Genomic DNA, 24,784 nt, shown 5'->3' on the forward strand with positions numbered 1-24,784 from the left:
TTAAAAAGTCAGGAAACAACAGATGCTGGAGAGGATGTGGAGAAATAGGAGCACTTTTACATTGTTGGTGGGAGTGTAAATTAGTTCAACCATTGTGGAAGACAGTGTGGCTATTCCTCAAGGATCTAGAACTAGAATTACCATTTCACCCAGCAATCCCATTACTGGGTATATACCCAAAGGATTATAAATCATTCTGCTATAAAGATACATGCACACATATGTTTATTGTGGCACTGTTCACAATAGCAAAGACTTGGAACCAACCCAAATGCCCATCAATGATAGACTGGGTAAAGAAAAAGTGGCACATATACACCATGGAATACTATGCAGCCATAAAAAGGATAAGTTCATGTCCTTTGCAGGGAAATGGATGAAGCTGGAACATTCTCAGCAAGCTAACACAGGAACAGAAAACCAAACACCACATGTTCTCACTCATAAGTGGGAGTTGAACAATGAGAACACATGGACACACGGAGGGGAACATCACACACCAGGACCTGTCAGGGAGTGGGGGCCTGGGAGAGGGATAGCATTAGGAGAAATACCTAATGTAGATGATGGATTGATGGTTGCAGCAAACCACCGTGGCACATGTGTACCTATGTAACAAACCTGCACATTCCGTACATGTACCCCAGAACTTAAAGTATATATATATTGTAGGGAAAAGAAAGAGAGATCAGACTGTCACTGTGTCTATGTAGAAAGGGAAGACATAAGAGACTCCATTTTGAAAAAGACCTGTACTTTAAACAATTGCTTTGCTGAGATGTTGTTAATTTGTAGCTTTGCCCCAGCCACTTTGCCTCAGCCACTTTGACCCAACTTGGAGCTCACAAAAACATGTGTTGTATAAAATCAAGGTTTTAAGGGACCTAGGGCTGTGCAGGACGTGCCTTGTTAACAAAATATTTACAAGCAGTATACTTGGTAAAGGTCATTGCCATTCTCTAGTCTCAATAAACCAGGGGCACAATGCACTGCAGAAAGCCGCAGGGAACTCTGCCCTTGAAAGCAGGGTATTGTCCAAGGTTTCTCCCCATGTGATAGTCTGAAATATGGCCTTGTGGGATGAGAAAGACCTGACTGTCCCCCAGCCCAACACCCGTAAAGGGTCTGTGCTGAGGTGGATTAGTAAAAGAGGAAAGCCTCTTGCAGTTGAGATGGAGGAAGGCCACTGTCTCCTGCTTGCCCCTGGGAACTGAATGTCTCGGTGTAAAACCCGATTGTACATTTGTTCAACTCTGAGATAGGAGAAAAGCTGCCCTGTGGCGGGAGACGAGACATGTTTGCAGTAATACTGCCTTGTTATTCTTTACTCCACTGAGATGTTTGGGTGGAGAGAAACATAAATCTGGCTTACGTGCACGTCCAGTCATAGTACCTTCCCTTGAACCTAATTATGACATAGATTCTTTTGCTCACATGTTTTTTGCTGACCTTCTCCTTATTATCACGCTGCTCTCCTACTACATTCCTTTTTGCTGAAATAATGAAAATAATAATCAATAAAAACTGAGGGAATTCAGAGGCCGGTGCCGGTGCAGGTCCTTGGTGTGCTGAGCGCCGGTCCCCTGGGCCCACTATTGTTTCTCTATACTTTGTCTCTCTGTCTTATTTCTTTTCTCAGTCTCTCGTCCCACCCAACTAGAAATACCCACAGGTGTGGAGGGGCAGGCCACTCCTTCATATATAATATAGATGTATTTGGTATTTGCTTCCTCTTCGGCAATGTAATGGCCACACTATGTCATCATCGGGGGTGTCTTTCTATCTTGCATGCAAGCTTTTACCCGGTGCATTTGTCAAAGTGCTCTTAGCTCTTGGAAAAACAGGTTCTCTGCTGCCATAAGGAAGTGAGAAGAAAAGAACTTTCCAGCTTTCTAAAAGGCAATGTGCATTCTGTCTTAGCCACTTCCCATCACCCCCAGCCCCACTAGGAAAAGTCAGTATTCATTTTTGACGTATAAAAGTAATTGCATCTATGTTACCTTAACCAGGCTCCATAATTCAAGTCAAAAGTAACCAAAAGCAGAATGAAAAACACATGGTAAAGAATGGAAACAGCATGGTCTATCAAAATACCTTTGCAGTTTGCTTTTATCTCTCCTTCCAGACATCCTGCCTAGGGTCGCTCTCTTCTGCTCTGCACCAGGGTCACCCTCCTCCCTTCCCTGAGCCAGCAGTCCTGGAAGGCAGCCTTTGATGTGAGGGCTCCCCACTCCTGCACCTACCTTCTGCAAAATTACAGGAAGAGGCTAGAAGCCCCTGTGCTGCTGCAAAGACCCCGAAACAATGCAGAAGGGGGGCCAGGCACTCAGGCGGAGATATTTTCCACTTATGTTGTGGCACAGAAGGGAGGTGCATGAGAACACACGCACAGCAACACCCAGCACTCCCACACTTAGGCACAAATAGTGCTGGGGTGCAGATGCTGCCGAGGAGGTGTGGGGTTGCTGAGAATTAGCCGGGTTGCTTTGAAGCTTCTCAGAGATCTCTACTCACATGGCCCTTATCACTCCTTGGTGAATGGTGCAAGGTTTTGGCTTTTTCTTTCTTTTCCTTTTTCGATAAAGACTTATGTTGATAGAACTGATCAAATAGGAAGGCATTTCGTTGGCTCTAGCCTAAAGGATCAAACTAAGCCATCTGCAGAGAATGGAGGATGCCTGAGAGGGGTGTGTAGGAGTAAGAGAGCCGCCCTTGGCACTGTAAGAATCCAGGCGAAAGGAAAAAGAAAACCTGCAAAGATGGTTTATAGCAGGGGACTGCAAATTTTGGTGGCTGCCCACACCAGGAAGTACATTTTTTACATCATAACCACATCAATCACCCTCACATTTAATGCTAGAAAAATATACTGTCATGAAAAAATTCTGGAAAGAATTTCTTACTATGTGAAAAGCATTCTATTCCCTTTAATTCTATTTTTTCCTGCTCTAGTCAATTTCATTTTGTTGTTAAAAATATGCTGATCTCAATCCACTGAACTGATTTCATGACCCATGATATGCACTATGAAACTCACCCGGAGCTTGAAACACTTCTGTTTCAGTGAAGTCTGGACAAGAGAGAGTGTCTTGTGAACATGTGGAGAGGGCAGCAGAAAAGCACCTCAATTTAGAACAATGTCACAAAAGAAAAGTGAGCTCCGGGGCTTGGGGGATGGAGGTGCAACTCTCAAATGTCAATAATCAATAGGATAAACGTGTCCCTGACTTTCGAACAGAGGCCCTTGTGAGGGAGTTACATCATTGGTCTGCCTCAAAAGAAACTTTATTCAGCATTTCTTGTCTTGCATGTGAAAGGAATGAGAGTGTTTGAGGTTGCAGGCAAGCATTTAGATGTTGAATAATCCCTCTAAACCATTGTGCTTACAGCTAAGGCAGCTTCACTAGGCCCTGGGTGCCTGGGTGTGAGGCTTTGGGCTCAGAGAAGGGACCCCCTCTGACAGGGCCCCGAGAACCAGCAGTTACACCTGTGGACCTCACATACTTATTAAAAGTGCTCTCAAAAGTGCCTCAGTTTGGACCATAAATTCAATAGTCACTCTAAGTATGAATAACTGAGGAAAGTATGTCTAGAGTATGCAGTCTACTTTATTCTTATTGCTTTGTCACAAAAACACACAGCCCATGTAAATTCACCTCTGATTTCTAACACTGTGATGCTCACATTAAGCAAAGGATCAAAGCAACTGGGTACCAGGTAAGTAATCCTGTTCTGAGAACTCATGGTCATAAAAGGTCTCAGTCAACTAGAAGCCTGCTGAGGGTGGCCCCTAGTCTTTCCCACCTGGAGGAACAAAGGTCCTTTTAGATTCCAGTCCTGGAGGCCCTGAGCCACCCCCAAGTGAGTGGAGGTATGCGTATATGTGTAAGGGCGGCCCGTGCCACCCATAGGTGAGGTCTGGACATAGCTCAGCTGACACAGATTTGGGAGCCAGGGGCTTGCTGAGCTGTGAACACCCCATCTTCCCCAAACTACAGCTCATCTCCAGCTTCTAGTTTCCCTGCAACCCCACTTCTTTTGTACCCAAATAATTCTCATGTCCTGTTGACTTGCTCCCTCCCTGGTGGATCAAACCTGGCTGGTTTGCTGGGCCTTGGAATTACCTTCGGGATCTTTCCATCCCTGAGAGGTTGGGCTCCTCATAGGCCGCCAGCCTGACTCGGAGGACCGTCTACTACCCTCTCCTGCGGACAGGCCCGCCCATGGCTGCCCCATGACCATGCTTGCCCTGTCCCTTGGCTTCGTGTGGGTCAGCTTGTTCTGCCACCTTGCTAGGCTGGTTCCTGGAGCTTCTATCTGTTGTGGCCTGGGTTGCCACGCTCTCCCTGGTCACCTGTGTGCCCGGACCCTGTGTCCCTCACTGGAGCACTCTGAGCTAGGCCGCCTCAGCTCTTCCTTACCTGCTCCTCTTACTGTGGGGATCCTGCTTCCAGGTCTGCCCTTGGCGGCTGCTCTGTACTCTGTACAGACACCCTGTTGGATGGGAGGCATGTCATGGCCTGTCCCCATGCTAGGCTTTCATTTTTACTTTGTAACCTACTTTTATCAAACGTCTGTGGTTGCTTAAAAGTCAATAATATATTTGGAGATGGGGTGAGATGGATTGTTTTAAACCTTACCTTCATAAGATAAAACAATGTTGAAAGTTAACTGTGAGCCTTTGGCGTCCTATACTGCAGAGGAGAAGGGCAGAAGGGGATGACCTGTCCTGTTTAATGTGGCATACAAAACCTGAATCTGGGATCCAGAGGTTTCCACCCTCCCTCCACTGCCACAAGGGGGAAAAAGGACTTAATAAACACCAAAGACTTTGCCCCACAATATGATGGTCAAGAAATCGGCTGGGAGTCAAATCGCAGTTCTGCCTCTTAGTAATTGGTAGCAAAATGATGGTCTCCCAAAATGTGCACATCTGAATTCCTGGAACCCATGAATATGACACCTTACATGGCAAGAGGGGCTTTGCAGATGTGATTAAGTTAAGGATCATGAGATAGGGGGATTATTCTACATTATCTGGACATCCCCCAATGTAATCACCAGTGTCCTTATATATGAAAGATGGAGACAGGAGAGCCAGGGTGAAAGAGAAATGTGAAGATGCTATGCTCTGGGCTTTGAAGATAGAAGAAGGGGCCATGAGCCAAGGAACGTAGGTAGCTTCCAGAAGCTGGAAAAGGTGGGGAAACATTCCTTCTCTAGAGCCTCCAGAATGCAGCCCTGCTGATACCTTGATTCTGGCCTAGTGAGACCTGTTTCAGACTTCTGACCTCCAAAAATGAAAGTAAATTTGTGTTGCTTTAAGACAGTAAGTTTATGGTAATTTGCTACGGCATCCATAGGAAACTAGTACAGCAACTATAGCTCCTTAGTTCAGATACTTTTCTAGGTTTGTTCCCTCATCTGCAGCCTAGGAATTGTAATTGTCCCTGCACCAGGTGGCTGCTGTGAAGACGGGACAGTGCAAAGCAAGTCAAGAGTATGGGGTACTTTCTGTGATACAACGTGGGCTCAGTTCATGGTAGCCATGGCTGTTAGTGCCTCCTTGAATCCCTGCAAGTGACCGACAAGGTTACTGTTATTATTCCCATTTTACAGACGTGGTTCTGGGAAGTTAAAATCTTGCCTGGGCCCAGTGTGAACAGCAGAACTAGGACCTTGTGCCCTGGCAACCTGACTCGTCAGCTCCCACCTCCCTTCCTTGACAAAATGCAAGTGTAGTGGAAATTTTTAAAGTGAAGTTTAAGTGGTGAACAAGGGACATTAGACTTGAATCCTAACAAGAACACTGTGACCAGTGATAGGCATCGTTGGGGCTTAGCAAACGACACCCCAAAGTGTGGCGCTGTGGCTTGCTGAGTGCTTTGAATTGAAGCACACTGGAAAGGCCTCTGAAGCAAAGTCTCTGTCTGATCTTCTCCTGTCCTCCTCTTGTTTCCTTTCCTCCCTTAAAGCAGGTCAGAGAAGCCAGAACCACTCTTCCTCCAAAATAAAACCTAGAAATAGGCCAGGCGAGGTGGCTCACGCCTGTAATCCCAGCACTTCGGGAGGCCAAGGCGGGCAGATCACCCGAGGTCAGGAGTTTGAGACCAGCCGGGCCAACATGGTGTAACCTCGTCTCTACTAAAAATACAAAAAATTAGCTGGGTGTGGTGGTGGGCACCTGTAGTCCAAGCTACTCTGGAGGCTAAGCCATGAGAATCGCTTGACCCTGGGAGGTAGAGGTTGAAGTGAGCTGAGATCGCGCCACTGCACTCCAGCCTGGGCAACAAGAGCGAAACTCCATCTAACAAAACCCTAGACATATTACTTTAAGCTTTCCCCAGCCCTTTTGTGTAGGAGTTGGGTATAAAGAAATTCCCAAACCTACCTTGTCTGAAAGGAGATCCTAAGACCTCATTCCACAGAGGTCCTGCCCTGTGTCTGGGAGAAAAGACTGCCCCATACAGAGGCCAAGATGAATCAGAGCAGACAGGCCTTGCTGGGGTTCCCCACTAAGTCTGTTGCCATTAGGCCATACCCATTATGTCCAATCACATTTTTACACCACTGTACACTCTTCCTCGACTCTAAACATAAAAATGGACAGTTTTCTCTTTGATCTTTGGGTCTTCCTTTCTCAAGCCTCCCATATCACGAAATAAATTAGTTATGCTTTTCTCTTGTTAATCTAGATTTTGTGATAGGAATGCCTGCCATGACCCTTATGATGGGGAGGAAGAGTTTTATAACATTTCCCCTCTACAATATGAATTACAGTCAAAAAGTTTCTAAGATCTCAAATTAAATACATGAAAATAGATTATTCACAACTTCATCGTTCAACAGACATTTATTTAGCATCTAGTAGACACCACTCACTGCTGTAGGTATTGGGCATATCTCAGTGAACAAAATAGAGTCTCTGCATTCATTGGAGTTCACATTTTATTGGAGGAGAGATAAACATATATGTAGGTGGATGTGTATATGTGTGAGATAGCAAGTGAACCAGGGTAAGGAGCTAGAGATTGATAAGGAGTGTCATTTTAGATGAAGTGTTTAGGGGTAGCTCTCAGATTGGGTATGAATGAAGGAAGGAGGAAGGCATGTGATTGTCTTGGGGAAGAGTCTGACAGAGATGCCAGCAGGTGCAAATGCCCTGGGGCAGGGCAGTGCTTGGCACAGCTGGGTCAGGGCAGTGTGACTGGTGCCTCTCTAGATGGACAGAGAGAGAAGGAAGAGATGAGGTCAGATTCCTAGGGCCTGGATCATGTAGGGCTCTGTTGGCTATGGTTGGAGTTAGGATTTTATTTTGACTTGGGAAGCCATTGGAACGTTTGGGAAAAGGAGACACACTGTCTAATTTAAGTTACAAATATGATCGCAAATTTTAAACAGAGACCTGTGGTTAAATTGGGCTCACATTGGCCTCTGGGGTTGCCTGGCTGCTCCTGCCCAAGGCTGGCGGAGGTTTGCTGACACTTCCCAGGAAAGAGTGAAGCACAGCAGACAAAAGTAGAAGCAGCTCAGGGCAGCAGGCCAGGATCCTGCCGGAGCTCATCAGCAGCCAGAGTGGAGGATGTGCTGCTGCTGCTGCTGTTAATAAAAGTAGCTGAAGGGTTTATCAGTCCTTCTACCCAACTTTCATTATTCAAACAATGTTGAACTTGCCACTATGAGTTTCCAAACTGTCTGACTTGTGGAGAGCCCTGTCTTAATTAGAAGGTCCTCATCCCACTTTTCCTTGCTGCCTGCAGAGATTTTCCTTCTGAGAGTGTTTGTAGACATGAAATTGTGGGTGTGCTTATTTCTCCCCTCACTTGGATGATCGCCCATGCTGGTTCATTTGAGTCCCAACACATTTGCACCTGCTCATAGATTTTTGCATTTTCAATTTGCAGGAGTAGAGAAACAGGGACCTAAAAGGAGTTTGTCTCATGCACTTTCCACATCTCAGCTTTATGTCTTACACTCGCTATTATTTTTTCTCTGAACCTAACTGATTTGACTGTCTTGTTTGACCTCTGTCTTTGATTTTGGGATTGGAAGGGCATAACATTTGGCCATTGGTTCTCTATTCAATGTAAATAAAGTTGAAGGAAAGAGACTATCCTCTCTCACCTGCTTTTTCGGTTCCTAAATTATATTTAAAGAGAGCAAAATATTACAGTTTCCTAGTAAGTTAATTAAAAGATTCTGAAGAAAATTGGACGCTTTTCAAAAAGGAAGTTTACAGAGTTTAGAATTTTTTCAGCATTTCCATCCTCTTCTCTTCCCCCAACACAAACAGACTTATACAGAGGCACACACAGACACACGCAGAGACATGTGTACACAGAGACATGTGTGCACACAGGCACACTCACACAAACTAATAAATTAGTAAATGGAAGCTTTCAAGTCAGAGAATCTACTCCTTAAGCATACATTATCATCAAATGTTAATACTGATTGCGTCCAAAAAATTCCATGTAAAAAACACGTCCTTGTGCTACGTATTGAAAGGTAGGGAGTGAATATGAAACCTGGTTCCCAGCCAGGATTGCAGAAGGGAAAAGTACTAGCCAAGAAGAGAAACTTCTAGCTCCTTCCTTTGGATTTCAACACTCCTAGAACTCAACTGAATTAAACACAACAGTTTGGTTCAGCAAATATTTATTAGTCAGTTGTGCACTGTGTGCAGGTTACAGTGCTAGCTCTCAGGGTTTAACTAGGATGGATGAATACCCTTCCCAGCCTCTTGAGAAGGTGCTGAAACTAAAGGGAGAATTAAAAACGAAAAATAAAAATAAGTTCAAAGTCCTCATTCTTCTTCTTCTTCTTTTTTTTTTTTTTTTGAGAAGGAGTCTCTCTCTGTCACCCTGGGTGAAGTGCAGTGGCACGATCTCAGCTCACTGCAACCTCCACCTCTCAAGTTCAAGCAATTCTCCTCCCTCAGCCTCCTGAGTAACTGGGATTACAGGCACGCTCCACCATGCCCAGCTAATTTTGGTATTTTTTAGGAGAGGCAGGGTTTCCCCGTGCTGGCCAGACTGGTCTTGAACTTCTGACTTCAGGTGATCTGCCCACCTCGGCCTCCCAAAGTGCTGGGATTACAGGCGTGAGCCACCGCGCCCGGCTTCATTTTTAAGATGAGGTCCTTTCTCCGTTGTGGAGACTTTTCCAAGTTTCTAGTGGGATTAGTGTGAAACTGGCATTGCACTGCTTGTATTTAAATCTGGCTTCCCCTGTACTGCCTCTGTGCCCCTTTGCCTCTCAGTGCCTCGGCGTCCTCACCTGTAAACAAGGAAACCAGGAACACTCCTCATAGAGCCACCCTGTACATCCTGAGTGTGTGTGCAGCATACACAACACTGCTGCACACACCATGAGCACTCGAACGCCAACAACTATTATCTCTCTAATTCAGAGCTTTATTTTATTTTAAATCTGGAATCCAAATCAGTCCTATTCCAGATTCTTTATGAAAATGATTTTTTTCTTTTTTCCCCTTTTACTTTGGGGAGTCAAGAGACTTTCTTATTTCATCTTACAGAATGTTGAGTTTTCAAAATGTCCAAAAGAGAACAAAGAGAAGTGAGGTAGCCCTTGTCCTTAAGTCATTACCCACCCCTCAACACATTTAGCATATTTTCTGGTACCTTCAAAGGAATCCTATCACTTTCCATCTCCATATTGTTCACATTCCTTCTCACCTGTAATGTTCTCAGCCTCTGCTAATTTCTCCTTTCCTTGAGGCACCACGTCCCTTTCTCTGCAAACTTTATCCCAAGTATTTTAAAACATTCATAGATTTTGCCCTCAATACCTGAAGCATTCATTTATGTCATTCAAACCATGCTGTCCCTTGCATATGGCAACAGGGTTGCTCTTTTGCAATTGAAGTCTAATGCCAACTGGATCGGAAAGTACTGGAAAGAAAGACATTGACCAGGCACGGTGGCTCACGCCTGTAATCCTAGTACTTTGGGAGGCTGAGGTGGGCGGATCGCCTGAGGTCAGGAGTTCGAGACCAGCCTGGCCAACATGGTGAAACACTGTCTCTACTAAAAATACAAAAATTAGCAGTGGTGGCCTATGCCTGTAATCCCAGCTACTCAGGAGGCTGAGGCACTAGAATCACTTGAACCTGGGAGACGGAGGTTGCAGTGAGCTGAGATCTTGCCACTGCACTCCGGCTTGGGCAACAGAGTGAGACTCCATCTCAAAAAAAAAACAAAACAAACAAACAAAAAAAACAAGACATTATCTTTAACTTGGTTGCACCCTCGGCAATGAATAACATGGTTATAAGCTTCAGTTTCCTTCTCTGAAAATAGGAATAATAACAAAATTAATAATAATGTTTACCTATAGTGCTGTTGTATTAAATGAGCTAAAACATAGTTACTGGATATAATGATCTTTCAATAAATTTCAACTTTTTTTTTTAAATGGGGTCTTGATCTCTTGCCCAGGCTGTTTTCAAACTCCTGGGCTCAACCAATCCTCTCACCTCAGCCTCCGAAACTAGCTATTATTTTTAATAGACTAAATCATTCTGGTTGGTTATTTATGATTTTTATAATTGGTGGTAATAATTAGACTGTTTTATGTTTGCATAGAATTTTGCATTACGAAAACTTTCATGATCAGACTTAGTATAGAAAATTTAGTAAACTATTTAAAATGTAGAGAAAAATGTAACATTACTACCAATCTTATCCTTCAGAATCAATAATTTTATATATTTTGGTGTATTTTTTCAGTTCATATATTATGAATATTGCTTTCTAGTTTGAGTTTTAAAAATCAAAAGTTCTATGCAAACTTTATTTTTGATGGTTGCATATATTCCATACTATGGCTAATCATATTTTATTTAACCATACTTCACTTTTGAGCTATTGCACTGTTTATTGGTTTTAGTTATTACATATTATTACATATATGTAATGTTTTCATATAACCCATTGTGCCTTCATCTTAACCATTTCATCTTCCTACAAAGGATACGACTTGGAGTAGAACATTCAAATCATGTCATTTTCTATTTTGTGTTCATACGAAACCGTGAACTGATACCTTGAAATTACTCTAGATTTATCTGCACAGAACTAAGCCCAGGCAAAAAGCACTATGATGGCTTCTACTTAACGTGAAAGTAGGTGGTTCCCATAGCCGCTTCAGATACCATCTAGACATGCTTACTCTTTAAAGACCAGAATGACAGCACTTTGGGAGGCTGAGGCAGGTGGATCACCTGGGATCAGGAGTTCATGACCAGCCTGGCCAACATGACGAAACACTGTCTTCACTAAAAAAACAAAAATTAGCCGGACATGGTGGCAGGCGCCTGTAATCCCAGCTACTCGGGAGGCTGAGGCAGAAGAATCACTTGAACCCAGGAGGTGGAGGTTGCAGTGAGCCGAGATTGTGCCACTGCACTCCAGCCTGGGTGACAGAGTGAGACTCCTTCTCAAAACATAAATAAATAAATAAACAAACAAACAATAAAAAAAGACCAGAATGAAATTCTTGCACTTTCTTCTTAATATCTAATTATCTGCTCCTCCTTAATAAAACAGATCAAGTATGTTTTATGCATTGTTGCCTTGATATGGTCTTAGTTCAGTTTAATTTTTCAGTATTACTTTTTAACTATAACAAAAGTCCTGTGTTAAAATGGATTTTTATTCCTCTTTTCTCCATCTAAAATGTATCCATTAAATTCAAATGAAGTATCAAATTGTAAAACATTAAATTGCTCAGAACTTATGTGAGTTCTTTTCTATTTTTCATCCACATTTTAGTGTATTAGAGATTAAGTGAGGAGGTGCTGACAAATCAACGGTAATAAAAAAAAATCAGTAAACCAGATTTTGTGGGGTGTGGAGGGCATGCAGATCAAGGCGCAAGGTGGTTGAGTTTTTCATGATTCAAAAGGGACCAGTAATAGTGTAGAAGTCAATTACCAGATCATACTTTGAACTGATGTTATATTGCTATATTCTAATAAAATGTCTTATCTAAATCTTTATCCTTTTTTACTTCTCATCTATCCAACTATTATGAATATTTTAATATGTTGACTAAACAAATTGGTCATAATGATATATAGAGATAACCAATTTTCAAGGAATTAGATTTTGAATCTACAGTAAAAGACATTGGCCATAAATTGGAAGAAAGAAGATTAGCAAATAACTTGATTTATATATACATATATATATGTTTTGTTAATTATTATTTACAGTTTCCCACATAATTTAATGTTTTTGGATTCACCTTAAAATATCTCATAGTGGTATTTTTTTAAAAAAAACGAATATTAAGTTAATGGTTAATCTTTCAATCAAAGATATCTTAGAATGAATAAATAATTAAGATAAACAATTAACTGCAAAAATAGTTATCTTTGAGTAGTAAGACTATATATGATTTTCCATTTTCTTCTTTTTGCTGGTCTGTATTTTTTATAGTAAACAGATTATTTGTAGAGTGAAAAAGATATAAACAATCAATATAATTTTACCTCTTTCTTTGGTGGGGAGAGAATGAATTAGAATCAGTCTCTGGGCCATATCTTGTAAATATGAAACATTTCAGAGATCGGTAGAAAGAGTGCAGGTCCCTGTGCTTTAGGTCATGGGAATGCAGTGAGAGGCATGGCTTGGCCTGGCCTTGGGGATCTGAAATCAATGGAGAACTCTGGAAGCCCTGAATAGAACAATGAAACCTAAAAGTACGAAACCTGCTGAAAGGCAAGATGGTGGGTGAGCAGTCAGGGAACCCCGTATTGGAAAATATGCAACTTTTCATGGAAGTTATGCATTAAAATATTTTTTAATATAAGAAAATGCCTCCAAAGTGTAATCATTTGAGTGGATTAGTCACCTACTCAGTTAAATACAAAAACTTGTGTAAGGGGTCGGGTGGATCTCAACACATAATAGACCTTATTCCAGCCCATCCTGGATACCCCAAAACCCTGACTTGGTCATTACACATTCTATGTATGTACTGATACACATTCTATGTATGTACCGAACACTCACATGTACCCCATAAATATGTAAAATATTATGTATCGATAAAATTTTGAAAGCCTAGCAATAAAATAAAATTCAAATAATATTCCCAAGAAACAAATAAAACAACTATAGTAAACTTACATATAGCAAATATGAGCTACAATAGCATTAATCTGTAAGGCAGGTGTTTATTAACACTATCTTTGGACGTCAGAATAATTTAGAAAAATAAACTGGACTGACAACTTTATTTTTCTTTTTAGATTAGACTTGATAAAGTGTCTTACATGGAGTCTGGCTAGAGGATGTTTATATATATGATGTCTATTATCATATATATGGCATCCTATCAATATTGAGATTATTACACAATTGGCCAGGGCATTACTCAGGACTGTGCATTTTGGAGTTTGCCCTGCTCTGGAAATTGTAAAATATTCATGCATTTCCTTTTTAAAGCATGCAATAGCTCTCTGGGCTTTCAAACCATCAGCTGCGAAGAGTCATGTTGCATAAACACACTTTCCCAGAGTAATCAGACTCATCAGTAATTTGTCTTTTCATCCCAGGCTTTCCGGAAATTCTGTCAGGGAGAAAAAGTTCAAGTGCACTGTGGTTTTCTCCCTTTCCAATGTTTATTTTATAACATTTCTTCTTTTGCTTTCCCCTTAAAAAATGTTTTCCGTTGTTCAAAACAGATTCCCACTGAAAGGGGGCAGAGGTTCAATTTTATTTAAATCTCTCCTCATTCCCAATGAGCAGGGGTTCTCTATCTTCAAGCTGACACCCCCTGTAGCTCTGGGCAGGGTGGCTTCTGTTCTTGGGCTCTGCCGTTGGTGGGAGCCAGCTGCCAGCAACACCTGCATCTCTGCTGGGGTCAGCGAGCTCCCAGTGCCTGAGAGCTTCCTCCCAGGGCTGGACACTCCCTCTGCATGCAACAAGATGCCTACAGAGCTGCTGCAGAGACAGGCTGGGAAGGATGGCAAGGGTGAGAGAAGGGCACAGGGGAACCAGTGGCCCTTACCTGTGGTTTTAGGGTTCTGTCTTCTGTCCTCCAGCCCGATGAGCAGGGACAGCTGCTGTGCAGGCGGACTGCCTGGTTGGATGGCCCCAACCTTCTGTGCAGCTGCCAGCCAGCTGCGCTGCCCTTGTCAGTGGCGCTATAAATAAGGCACGTCTGGACATTGGCCAGGCCTAGGAGATAAGAACCCAGCCCCTGGCTCCCACGTGCCTTTTAAGGTCTCCAGATTAAAGAAGCCTCAGCTCCCAGATGGGAAGGGGCTGCCATGTCCTCGTTTGTCCTGCCTGCTTCAAGGACACACGAGGCCTCATATTTTCCAGGAATCCAAAGGGTGGCTAAACTGGGAAGGCCACCAGCACCAGAAAGGGACCTCACTTTGTCATACAAGAGGCAGAGCCTCCAACAGGCTGCTCAGCTCCACCTCTGTGCACCCCCCAGATTAGGTAACTGGCATGGAGGCCCAGGAGTGAAAGGACACTTCCCCCAGGCTACACAGCACCTCTGTGAGCTGGGAAATGTGGATTTCTAGTGCTGCCTTTGGAACGAGCTCTCTAGCTTACAAGGGCATTTGCTTGGGTGAGAGGATGTTGGGAAGATCGAACAATCGGCTTAATAAATGCCAGGCATTTGTGAAGCCGTGGAGTGGAATACATTCGCAGAAAGTTCTCTCCCTCCCTATCCTCCCTGCTCATGCATGATTATAAGGGTTTCTTGAGCCATACACTGTTTTCTCTATAGAATTAAAACAGTGAAATCTTCCCAGAGCATTTTTAAAGCCATATGCTGGGAGAGGAAGAGAAACTGATTTGGGGGACCAACAGCTCCTGATTCTTCCTTAATGTCTTACTTACGAGTATGCTGAAAAGGCACTCACCCATGGCGAGGGCCAACTTCTTCTGAGGACTATTTGGCGACAGCTGTCTGCATTACCACAACAATTCTAAGCCTGCAGATTTATCCCGAGGAAAGAATAGTGGATGTGGGCAGAGATACAGCTGCAAGGACATTTCTCGAAGCTCTTTTTATCTTGGAATTAGGAAAAGTTGGAAACAACCTAAATGGCTATCAAAAGGGGGCTGATTAAATGAGAAATAGTATATAAAAAAGCAGAACAGACCAATCACAGTGGCTTATGCCTGTAATCCCAGCATTTTGAGAGGCTGAGGCAGGAGGATCACTTGAGCCCTGGAGTTCAAGGCTGCAGTGAGTTATGAACGTGTCACTGCACTCCAGCCTGGGCAACAAAGCAAGGCTCTGTCTCTAAAAATAAAATCAAAAATAAAGCAAAGCAAAACACGCTGCAACCTTTAGAAATGTCAAAGGAGAATATTTAATGATATAGGAACAATACATATAATTATAGATTGATAATAAAAAGCAGGTCATGGCCCACGCCTGTAATCCTAGCACTTTGGGAGGCCAAGGGGCGGGTGAGGGGGGGGCAGATCACATGAGTTCAGGAGTTCGAGACCAGCCTGACCAACATGGTGAAACCCTGTTTCTATTAAAAATACAAAAAAATTAGCCAGGTGTGGTAGTGGGCACCTGTAATCCCAGCTACTTGGGAGGCTGAGGCAGCAGAATCGCTTGAATCCAGGAGGCAGAGGTTGTGGTGAGCCAAGATCGCGCCATTGCACTCCAGCCTGGGCAACAACAGTGGTCACCCTTGAGGGAAAAAGGCATATGTATAACATGAAGTTACTACACACAGGTAAGCACCCCCCTCCCACACACACACATACATCCTGAAAGGATGTGCCACAAATGTGGAAGGTGTTGATGGCTGGAGGAACGGATATAGCTCATTTTATTTTCTTCTTTGTCTTATATGCAATCTCTAAATTATTTACAATAATATTGTATTCTTTTATAAGAAAATTAACTTCATCTAAAATCTTAGTTTCCGAGACTCAGAAGACAGCTTTCTGTGTTTCTGCACTAATGAATCTCAGTTTATTTTAAGGTTACAGAATTCCTTGGGGTTTCCCCACTCTTTGGAAAAACCTATGTAAGGCCCAGAAGCTCTTTTTCATGCCAATTCCAATGATCTGATGTAGCTGGACCTGTCAAATCCTCTAAGTGTCCCTGTCAAGGCAAAGGCAAGGCAAGAAAAGAGAAAGAAAAGAAAAAAAAACACTAAGAGAAAAAGAAGGAAACAGAAAATAAACAATATAATATATGTAATCATAATGTATAATTTTATCACACAGGTCACTTTTATCTGACCTAACATGCCCCAATTTATGCTCCAATCAGGACATTAGAAAGGCACTTAATGGGCCTTTTATTTAAAGGAGGTGCATGTTCTGATGATTATTTTGTTTTTTAAAAATTGTTTTTAACTTAAGTAATGACCTCCTGATCTGACTGTGTGATATAGAGGAATTCTTCTTTTACTTCCAACTCATTTTCAGTGATATGTATGATGGAAGAGGGGACCCCTCTCCTGACCTGGCTCCTGCAGTACAGAGGGTCCGAAATCCTTTAATTCCCTCTTCTGTCTACAGACACCAGCATGGGGTTGCCTCCCCCATGAATAGGACCTGGCCTAAGACATAGCACGGGGTAGTTTCAATGCTTTTGTGTTGGGTCTTACTGCCAGAGGAGCCTCTATGACAGACACAGCCCAGGGCAGAGCCTGCAGGCTGAGCCCCATCCTCTGGACTCTTATTTGAATTTGCAGTGCCAAAGCCCTGCTTGGACTATCCAAAGTCCCTCTCAAGTAAGTGCTGACTGCCTACCTCAGAGACTAGCCAGCTGAACCATGGAATGCATCCTACAGGTGTCCAGGGAAGAGGGGGGCTTCCAGTCTTAGGTCAGCCTCTGGAGTAGGGTAGACTTTCTCAAGAGAAGGACAAGATCAGGAAGAGATGGCACTGAGAGTCCTAAGGAAGGACCTCTCTTGGAGGAAGCTGGGCTGGAGGACAAGGAATTGGGGTGCCCAAATAAAGGACTTCTGAAAGGACTCACCAGTTTGCAGGGCTCATCTTTGATCTCTGGGAACAGCCCCCCAAAATGAAAGAGAGGAAAAACAGTTTTCTCTCTACCCTTCATGAGTTCTTAGCTGGGATGCCCTGGAACACAAGACAGATCAACAGGAGAAAAACAAACAAGTTGAATATTAAATAGCGTGGATACCTTGTATATCCATGGGAGTTACACAGTGAGCTGAGCAAATCTCTAGGGTAGATCCAAGAGGGAGTTGAAACTTTGGGCTGAAATATCATTTTCTGAAACACAGAAAGAATGGCGTGGGAAAACCCTGTTATGGGGGAGAAGAATGCCCAGAAAAAGCACAGAAAATGAACAAAATGGATCATGTTAAGTTGGCACCTTCTCCATAGATACATCTCGAAGGATTTAGTCATCCTTCTCTTCCTGGTGCAGGAATGGAGATTTCCTTTACAGATGTAAATCCTCTTTGAAAGGGTAACTTTTCCAGCATATTTAGGGGTGGTGTATTTGGTCTCTAACAACAGCATCTGTTGGGACTCAGGAAACAATAGTCTTTAGTATGATGCTTTGGCAAACTGGCTACTCAGAAGGCCTCAGCCGCAGCCTCAGCAGCAAGGCCCTCTGACCTTTTCCAGCCTTCCTATCTTCCACCTCTTTTCCTCCCCTGAAGCTTTCAAAGAAAGCGGAATCCTCTTCCCAAGGCGAGTCATAGAAATCAGAACTCTCCTGCAAAGCCAGCCTTAAATCCTGAAAGTATTACTCTACCCTTTTCCTACCTTTCTGGGCAAGAGCTGGCTGTAAAGAAATTCTCTGAGCTGCCATGTCTGAAAGTAGATCATAAGATCTTCATTCCAGAAGGTCTCTGCTCTATAGCTGGGAGGAAGGATTGCCACACAGAGAGGCCAAAAAGAATCTGAACAGACAGGCCTTGCTGAGTTTTCCCACTCAGCCTGTTAGCGTTAGATCATTCCCTTTTCATCATGTTTCCACGTGACTGTCCATCCCTCATCAAATCTAAGCATAATAATGGACAGCTTTCCTTGGGCCTTTTGGGCTTCATTCTGAAGGCTCCCATGTCACATAAAGCTTTGATGAAATAAATTTTTTTTCTCGAAAGGTCTGTTTCTGTCACTCAGACTGGAGTGCAATGGCATTATCACAACTCACAAAATGCTGTCTCAAACTCCTGGGCTCAGGCAGTCCTCCTGCCTTAGCCTCCTGAGTAGCTGGAACCACAGGCATGCACCACCATGCCTGGCTAATTTTTATTTTTTATTTTTTGGTAGAGACAGTGGTCTTGCTATGTTGCCCAGGCTGGCCTCCAACTCCTGTGTTCAAGTGATCCTCTTGCCTCAGCCTCCCAAAGTGCTGAGATTATAGATGTGAGCCATCGCACCAAGCTTATTATGCTTTTCTCTTGTTGGTCTGTCTTTTGTTAGAGAAGTGTTGGCTGTGACCCTGCTGAAGGCAAGGAAAGGTATTGTACGCTTCTGCCTCTATGCAGCCCTGTTTGACATTCTTCCTGCTCCACACTGACTCACTCTCACAGTCTTGGGGATGGGTGAGATGTGAGGGAGGGTGCCTGCCTGACATTCACTACCTACAGCAGACACTGTGGGAAGGAGCCATATCTACAGGGAGCGCCGTGGCCAGGACTTGGGGCTGTGGTCAGGACTGGGCGTGCCAAGGAGAGGAACTGCCCATGAATGTGGCACTTGCCTGTCTTTTATGGTATCATAGGGGAAAGGTGGACAGATACTTTTTGGTCATGTTTTCAAAAACTTGGAGACCAAAACTACAAAACAGATAGGTCTGAAACAAGCATTTTTTATTCAATTCGGGAAATATGTACTGAGCCTCCACTAGGAACCAGACACTGGCAGGCACAAGGATCGACAGGATGGAGACTCACAGATGGCCATGAGCTCCTCCAGTTTATCCCCAGCTACCAGCCTGGGTGAGGGCACCCCACCGTGGGCAGAGTCTCCTGCAAAATCTCAGCACCCCCAGGCCAATGCACTAAGGCATTTTGCCTGTGGGACATAAAATCTTCTTGTTCATCCATCAGTGCTATTCATTCATTTTTTCCAAGAACTGTCCATGGAGCTTCCTCCATGTGCCAAGCATTGTGCTAGGTCTTGGAGCCTCAGCCCTGAACATAAGAGAAGAACCTCAGCTCAAGGAGCTTGCAATGAACTAACTGTGCACTGTTGTCACAGCCTGAGGCTCTCACCTTGAACCTGGAGCACCTTTCCCTTATAGTCACTGTAGGTGCCATTTACCACTGTTGCCACCACCCTCATCTTTGAGGGAGTCGCTGTCACTACAGCTTCTTGCTCAGGGGTGGGCAGCCTTAATCTTTCTGTGAACCTGGTTCTGTGGCTCCTGGAGCCTGCCAGAGCTGAGCTTTGTACGTAGGATGGTACAAAGCTCAGCCACCTGAGTGCCGCACAGGCCACTGCTGTAAGCCTAGTGCTGCTGAGCCTGCTGGGGGGTGTTTGTGCTTCTTATCTGTCACAAGGGCCAGCCAGGCCCACGTTTCCCTCCATTTCCTCTATCCCACCCAGCTTGACTGCTGCTGGGACTGCCTTTCCCTCCTCTCCCTCCCTGAGCTGAGAAGCCATGGGGTTGGGGGTAATGCACCTGGCCCCTGGCTGGAGGGAGCTGGGTCTCTTTCACCATGGGCAGGCTTTTCCCTGCTGGCTTGGTGGTTTGCATGTCAGAGGAAGACAGCTAGCCAAGGAGCCAGAGAAGGATAGCAGAGAGGTAAGAGGAGAAGCACTTAGTTCTGGGGCAGAGAGAATAGGGTTTTAGGAGGGAGTGCGTGGACCGATACCATTTTTTGTAAGCTGAAAAGAGTGTAGACCAAGGAAAGTGTTGTTTTTCTGGACTGGAAAGTCCTCAGATGCAGAACCAGTGTGTGTTGGGGTGCAGAGGATGAGTGGTTTGTGAACCGCGTTGCCTACCAAGCGCCTGTCTGCAGAATCTGGAAGGACAAGCCCAGCCTCATTTTCAAGTGAATACCTTTCATTGCCTAACCACTCCATTTGCTATTCCTGAAACCTCTACATAAACATTCCTTCTGCACTTCCCAGAACAATAAACAGGCAGGAACGGCTGCATAAATGTCCAGTAAGTGTAAATACATTTATGATCAGCTCTGGGAAGTTTCAACCTGAAAAATAGCACCACCATTTGCTGGTGTACAGAATCCAGGCACCTCTTATTTTTGAACTTGTCTTATGCTGACCTAGTCTGGGTGTTGAAATGAACCATGTTATCCTATCAGAAAATTGACCCAATAATAATCTCAGTATGATGTTAAGGAGTTCGGGCCATAACCTGGAAAGATACAGTCCCAAAGCCCATAGCCCTGAATGTTGAATTCCCAAAAGACCCAAATCCCCAAAGTTTAAATCCCTAAAATCTCAATCCTTAAAGATCAAAATCTCCAAAATATAACTCCAGAAAAAATAATGGAAAATTCTTTACAAGACATTTGTTTACATTTTTAAAAGGGGACTTATTAGAGAAACATCAAAAAAATGACAGACCACTTCATAGGCCACTAAATACAATAAAATAGGCAATAATAACATACATCTTTTTACAAGCATAACCACTCTAGGTATACTAATGATAGTCGCACAGGTATAACAGTTATGAGCAGGTGATCCAGATTGCTAACTGTGGTCTTGTGAACTACCATCATGGACAACCTGCCTTTTGATGAGACTGATCAAAAACTACATGATGCCAGGCGCCGTGGCTCATGCCTGTAATCCCAGGACTTTGGGAGGCCAAGGCGGGCGGATCATGAGGTCAGGAGTTCAAGACAAGCCTGACCAACATGGTGAAACCTGGTCTCTACTAAAAAAAATACAAAAATTAGCCAGGCGTGGTGGCGGACACCTGTAATCCCAGCTACTTGGGAGGCTGAGGCAGGAGAATCACCTGAACCCAGGAGGTGGTAGAGGTTGCAGTGAGCCAGGATTGCACCACTACACTCCAGCCTGGGTGACAGAGTAAGACTCTGTCTCAAAAAAACAAAAAAACAGAAGAAAACAAAACAAAACTACATGATGGTCACTACCACATATGCAGTCACCAAAAGAATCAAGACCTTGAGAAACTTTGTCTTTCACAAACCCGGATATAGAAAAAGGACATGTCTTCACTTAATGAGAATGTACACACATAATGCTTACATACAAAATAACGTTGTGATAATGCACTTTCATGGAGTCAAATTTGCAAAAAAAAAAAAAAATGCGTAAAACAAATTAGAACTCTCTCAAAGTCTTTACACGATTTAAACCTCCAGTATGGCAATGATGCAATAATGAAATACATAGCAGAGAGAATTGTAAAAAATAATGCTGACAGTTTAAAATAGTGGGAAACAAATTTAAAAAGAACCCTCCCCCAAATAAACTAAAAAGAAAATTCAGCATGTGAAAAAGTGTATTACAGGGATGGATTATGGGCGATTGCACAGAGATAGTTCACAAAAGCTGGCTGACTTTCACTATCATTAATTTTATTTTAAAGTCTTACATCACAAATTTTCTTTTAGGACATGGCCCTCCTCAGAGAATACATTCACCTCCATTTTCTATATGATGCTGTTCTTTTCGAAATTCTTCTAGGAGTCCGTGTACACTGACATGAGCATTCCTTGTTAAATTTTCCCATCTTCTGTGCCATGCGTCTAAGTTGCTTTGGGTACAGTGAAATCCATTCTGCACGCACGCCTATACAGACCACAAATTTGGCAGAAACAACACTGTTGATCAAACAGCAACAGCGCTGTGTGTCACTTTGTTTTAAACATTAGGGTTCTAGGATTTAGGAATTTTGATCTTTAGGGATTTCAGCATCTGGGATTACAGCGTTCAGGACTGTAATGCTTTCCAGGACTATGATCAGCACCTCATGTTACGCTATTATATCTTCAGCAAGAAAGTAAGCATGCTTACTGTATGCTGAGGACTGGGCTGGGCTTTTCAAACATCCGCTAAATTCAGGACTTCACTCTGTCTCAAGTCACATGCTAAAAATATACACAAAAAATGGAACACAACAGTATACCAACAGGTCAGTATCACTCTGCACATTCCGGATACTGTGTACCCTTGTTTTGTCTCCCTCAAATTTCTCTCTCAAATTTATGCGTAGAGTCTTCATCCACACCAACTGACATTATCGATGACAGCTGGTGACCCCTTGGCTAAACTTATTTGTACTCTAGCAGCGATCAACACCCTCAATTAGAGGGACGAAACATGAACCGGTGACATGCCAAGCCTCAAATAGGAGCTGAGGGAGAGCATAGAGTGGACCAAATGCCTTGCTAGCCCCTGAGTTTATATAGGAAGCCACTCCCAGATGTGCCCTGTCAATTACTGTAAATAATGGGCTGTAATCTGGTCAACAAGACTCTAATTCTAGAGCCATTTACAACCACCATGTGGCGGATCATTGGAAAAGCTGGGGTGGAAGGGGCCCTGGGCAACTCTGCTGCTCCCCCACACACCCTTGCTGTGTGCCAGGGTGGTTGATGTGAACAAGCATCAAAGGCCTCCTTTGCTGTCTGGCTTCTGGTTGGGTTTAGTCATTGGGTAGAACCAGCCAGAGACCAAACACAGGAGAAGAGTGAGGTCAGGTCCTCAGGTGCCCAGGTCTTCCCTGGATACCAGTTCAGGACAAAACCACAAGGTAAATAGACATTTTTGAAATTAAAAATGTATTATTGTGGTAAACATAAAATTGACCATTTTAACCATTTAAAATATACAGTTCAGTGACATTAAGTATATTCAAATTGCTGTGCAACTGTCACCACCATCTATCTCCAGAACTCTTTTCACTTGCCCCAACTAAAGCTAAAATGCTGTCCCCATTAAACAGCTCTCCACTCCCTGTCCCCCCAAACCCAGCACCTGGTGACCCCCACTCTAATTTCTGTTCCCATAAACTTGATCACTCTAGATATCCCCTCTAAGTGGCATCATACAGAATTTGATCCTTCTGTGACTGGCTTATTTTATTAAGTATACAGCCCTCAAGGTTCATCCATGTTGCAGCATGTGGCAGAATCTCCTTCCTTTTTCAGGATGAATAATACTCCATTATATGGATAGACCACAACATTTTGTTTATTCTTTTACCTGTGGATGGACACCTGCATTGTACAAGGTCAATATTTGCTTTCTTCATTAAATCACCAAATACCCTTCAGAATAACTTCGCACAGACATAACTTAAGCATCAGAAAAATTCAGCCTGTGTGACTCAGTTAGGAGAAATGTCAGAAGAGTGGGTGTTTCATGAAGCAGGTGCGTATCCCAGCCTAGAAATGTAAGTTTGCAGGAAAGGTCACTCTCTTTATTTCCTTAGTTGTCCAACACCATTTTGGGAACATAAGCCAGGCTGTTAAAAGATGCAACGTGGGAGGCACTATGGCTAAGACTCTGCCTGAGTATGCGGCTGGAAGGGGGGTTGAGACAGTTATTTTCTTCAATCCTGTGGACATGCAGTGGTTCCCAGTGGACAGAGGCACACGTCTCACTGTCAGGGAGCCATGGAGTAGCCTCAGCTGCCCACATCATGTGGACTGTGTTGGAGCCTGGAGAAGGAAGGCTGGGACCCTAGCTTGGGCCTTTGCCTTGGGTCCACTTCTCAGCCCTTCTCCTGCCTGCTCTGCTCCAGGTTGCCAGAGCACATTGCCCTGGAGCCTCCTTTCTCAGCTTCTGGGGCTTAGCTGGGTGGTCCCCTCTCTGTGCCTATGTTGGTGTCTCTGGCACAGCTGTGGCCCCTGCCATGGTTTGAGCTTCCTTTGGGTGACCCCGGGCCACTGGCAGTGGCTTTTCCTCACTCTCCCAATTCAGCCTCTCAACACCCCCATCATCCACGCACCCGGTTCCTAGCATAAATTCCCTCTGTTGAAATTGTTTGATGTAGATTCTGTTTCCCTATTTAGACCTTTTTTTTTTTAGATGGCATTTCGCTCTTGTTGCCCAGGCTGGAGTGCAATGGCGCGATCTCTGCCTCCCAGGTTCAGACGATTCTCCTGCCTCAGCCTCCTGAGTAGGTGGGATTACAGGCACCTGCCACCTTTTTTTGTATTTTTTGTAGAGACAGGGTTTCACCATCTTGGCCAGGCTGTTCTTGAACTCCTGACCTGAGGTGATCCACCCGCTTCAGCCGCCCAAAGTGCTGGGATTACAGGTGTGAGCCACTGTGTGCGGCCCTATTGAGACCTTTTAAACCATTTCTGGAGGTTGACAGATTTTATGTAAATTAAAGTGTCATTTTATATGAAGTTCTGAACAAATTAACTAGAAATATAATCCCATCCTCAGAGGCTCTCTATTTTATATTTTCATGTTAAAGTGAGCTCAGTGTCCTCTAAGATCAGTAAAGCGACGCTTTGAGAAGGGGAATTCCTTAACCAGCCTAAATCAGTGAATAGGATTTTGCAGAGGGAATTAGCTAAATACATTCCAAATTAGGGAAGAAGGGATTTTGACAGCTAGAAAATGGGAAAGTCCGGACTGCAAAGGGTACCAGCAAAGCAGACATGGAAAATGGAGCATAAATACACTAGCCTTTCGTTTAATTAATCACTTTGATGAGTATTTAATTAGAAGAAAAATCTATTGTGTTAGAGGAGAAAATGTCTTAAATTTAGTTAGTAGTAATAAAATGGATTAAATCAGTGAGCTCATGGGACTGTGTATCCAACAGCAGGAGAGCCAAGAGATGGGCTGGGCAGCTGAGGGTGTAACAG

The 24,784-nt window shown here is 43.7% G+C and overlaps 1 protein-coding gene across 3 annotated transcripts in view, besides 1 other annotated feature; it reads right to left on the bottom strand.

Moving 5' to 3' along the window:
- The window catches only part of FHL2 (four and a half LIM domains 2), an 80,818-nt gene extending 66,647 nt beyond the window's left edge, over positions 1 to 14,171 (bottom strand). For 2 of the 3 annotated variants that reach the window (NM_001318897.2, NM_201557.5), the window contains exon 1: positions 14,041 to 14,155. The gene's annotated coding sequence lies outside the window, so the exon portion shown is untranslated. Of the gene's footprint in view, positions 1 to 14,040 lie in introns of all 3 variants that reach the window. The other variant, NM_001374399.1, reaches the window with a different exon arrangement.
- Positions 3,051 to 3,552: an enhancer, noted in NCBI's record as "NANOG hESC enhancer chr2:106043866-106044367 (GRCh37/hg19 assembly coordinates)". NCBI's record gives its function as "activates a minimal SCP1, AML or CMV promoter by ChIP-STARR-seq in naive H9 embryonic stem cells {active_cell/tissue: H9 hESC(naive)}" and the evidence as "EXISTENCE:reporter gene assay evidence [ECO:0000049][PMID:30033119]".

This window comes from Homo sapiens, chromosome 2 (genome assembly GCF_000001405.40).
Source record: "Homo sapiens chromosome 2, GRCh38.p14 Primary Assembly".
Taxonomy (NCBI): Eukaryota; Metazoa; Chordata; class Mammalia; order Primates; family Hominidae; genus Homo; species Homo sapiens.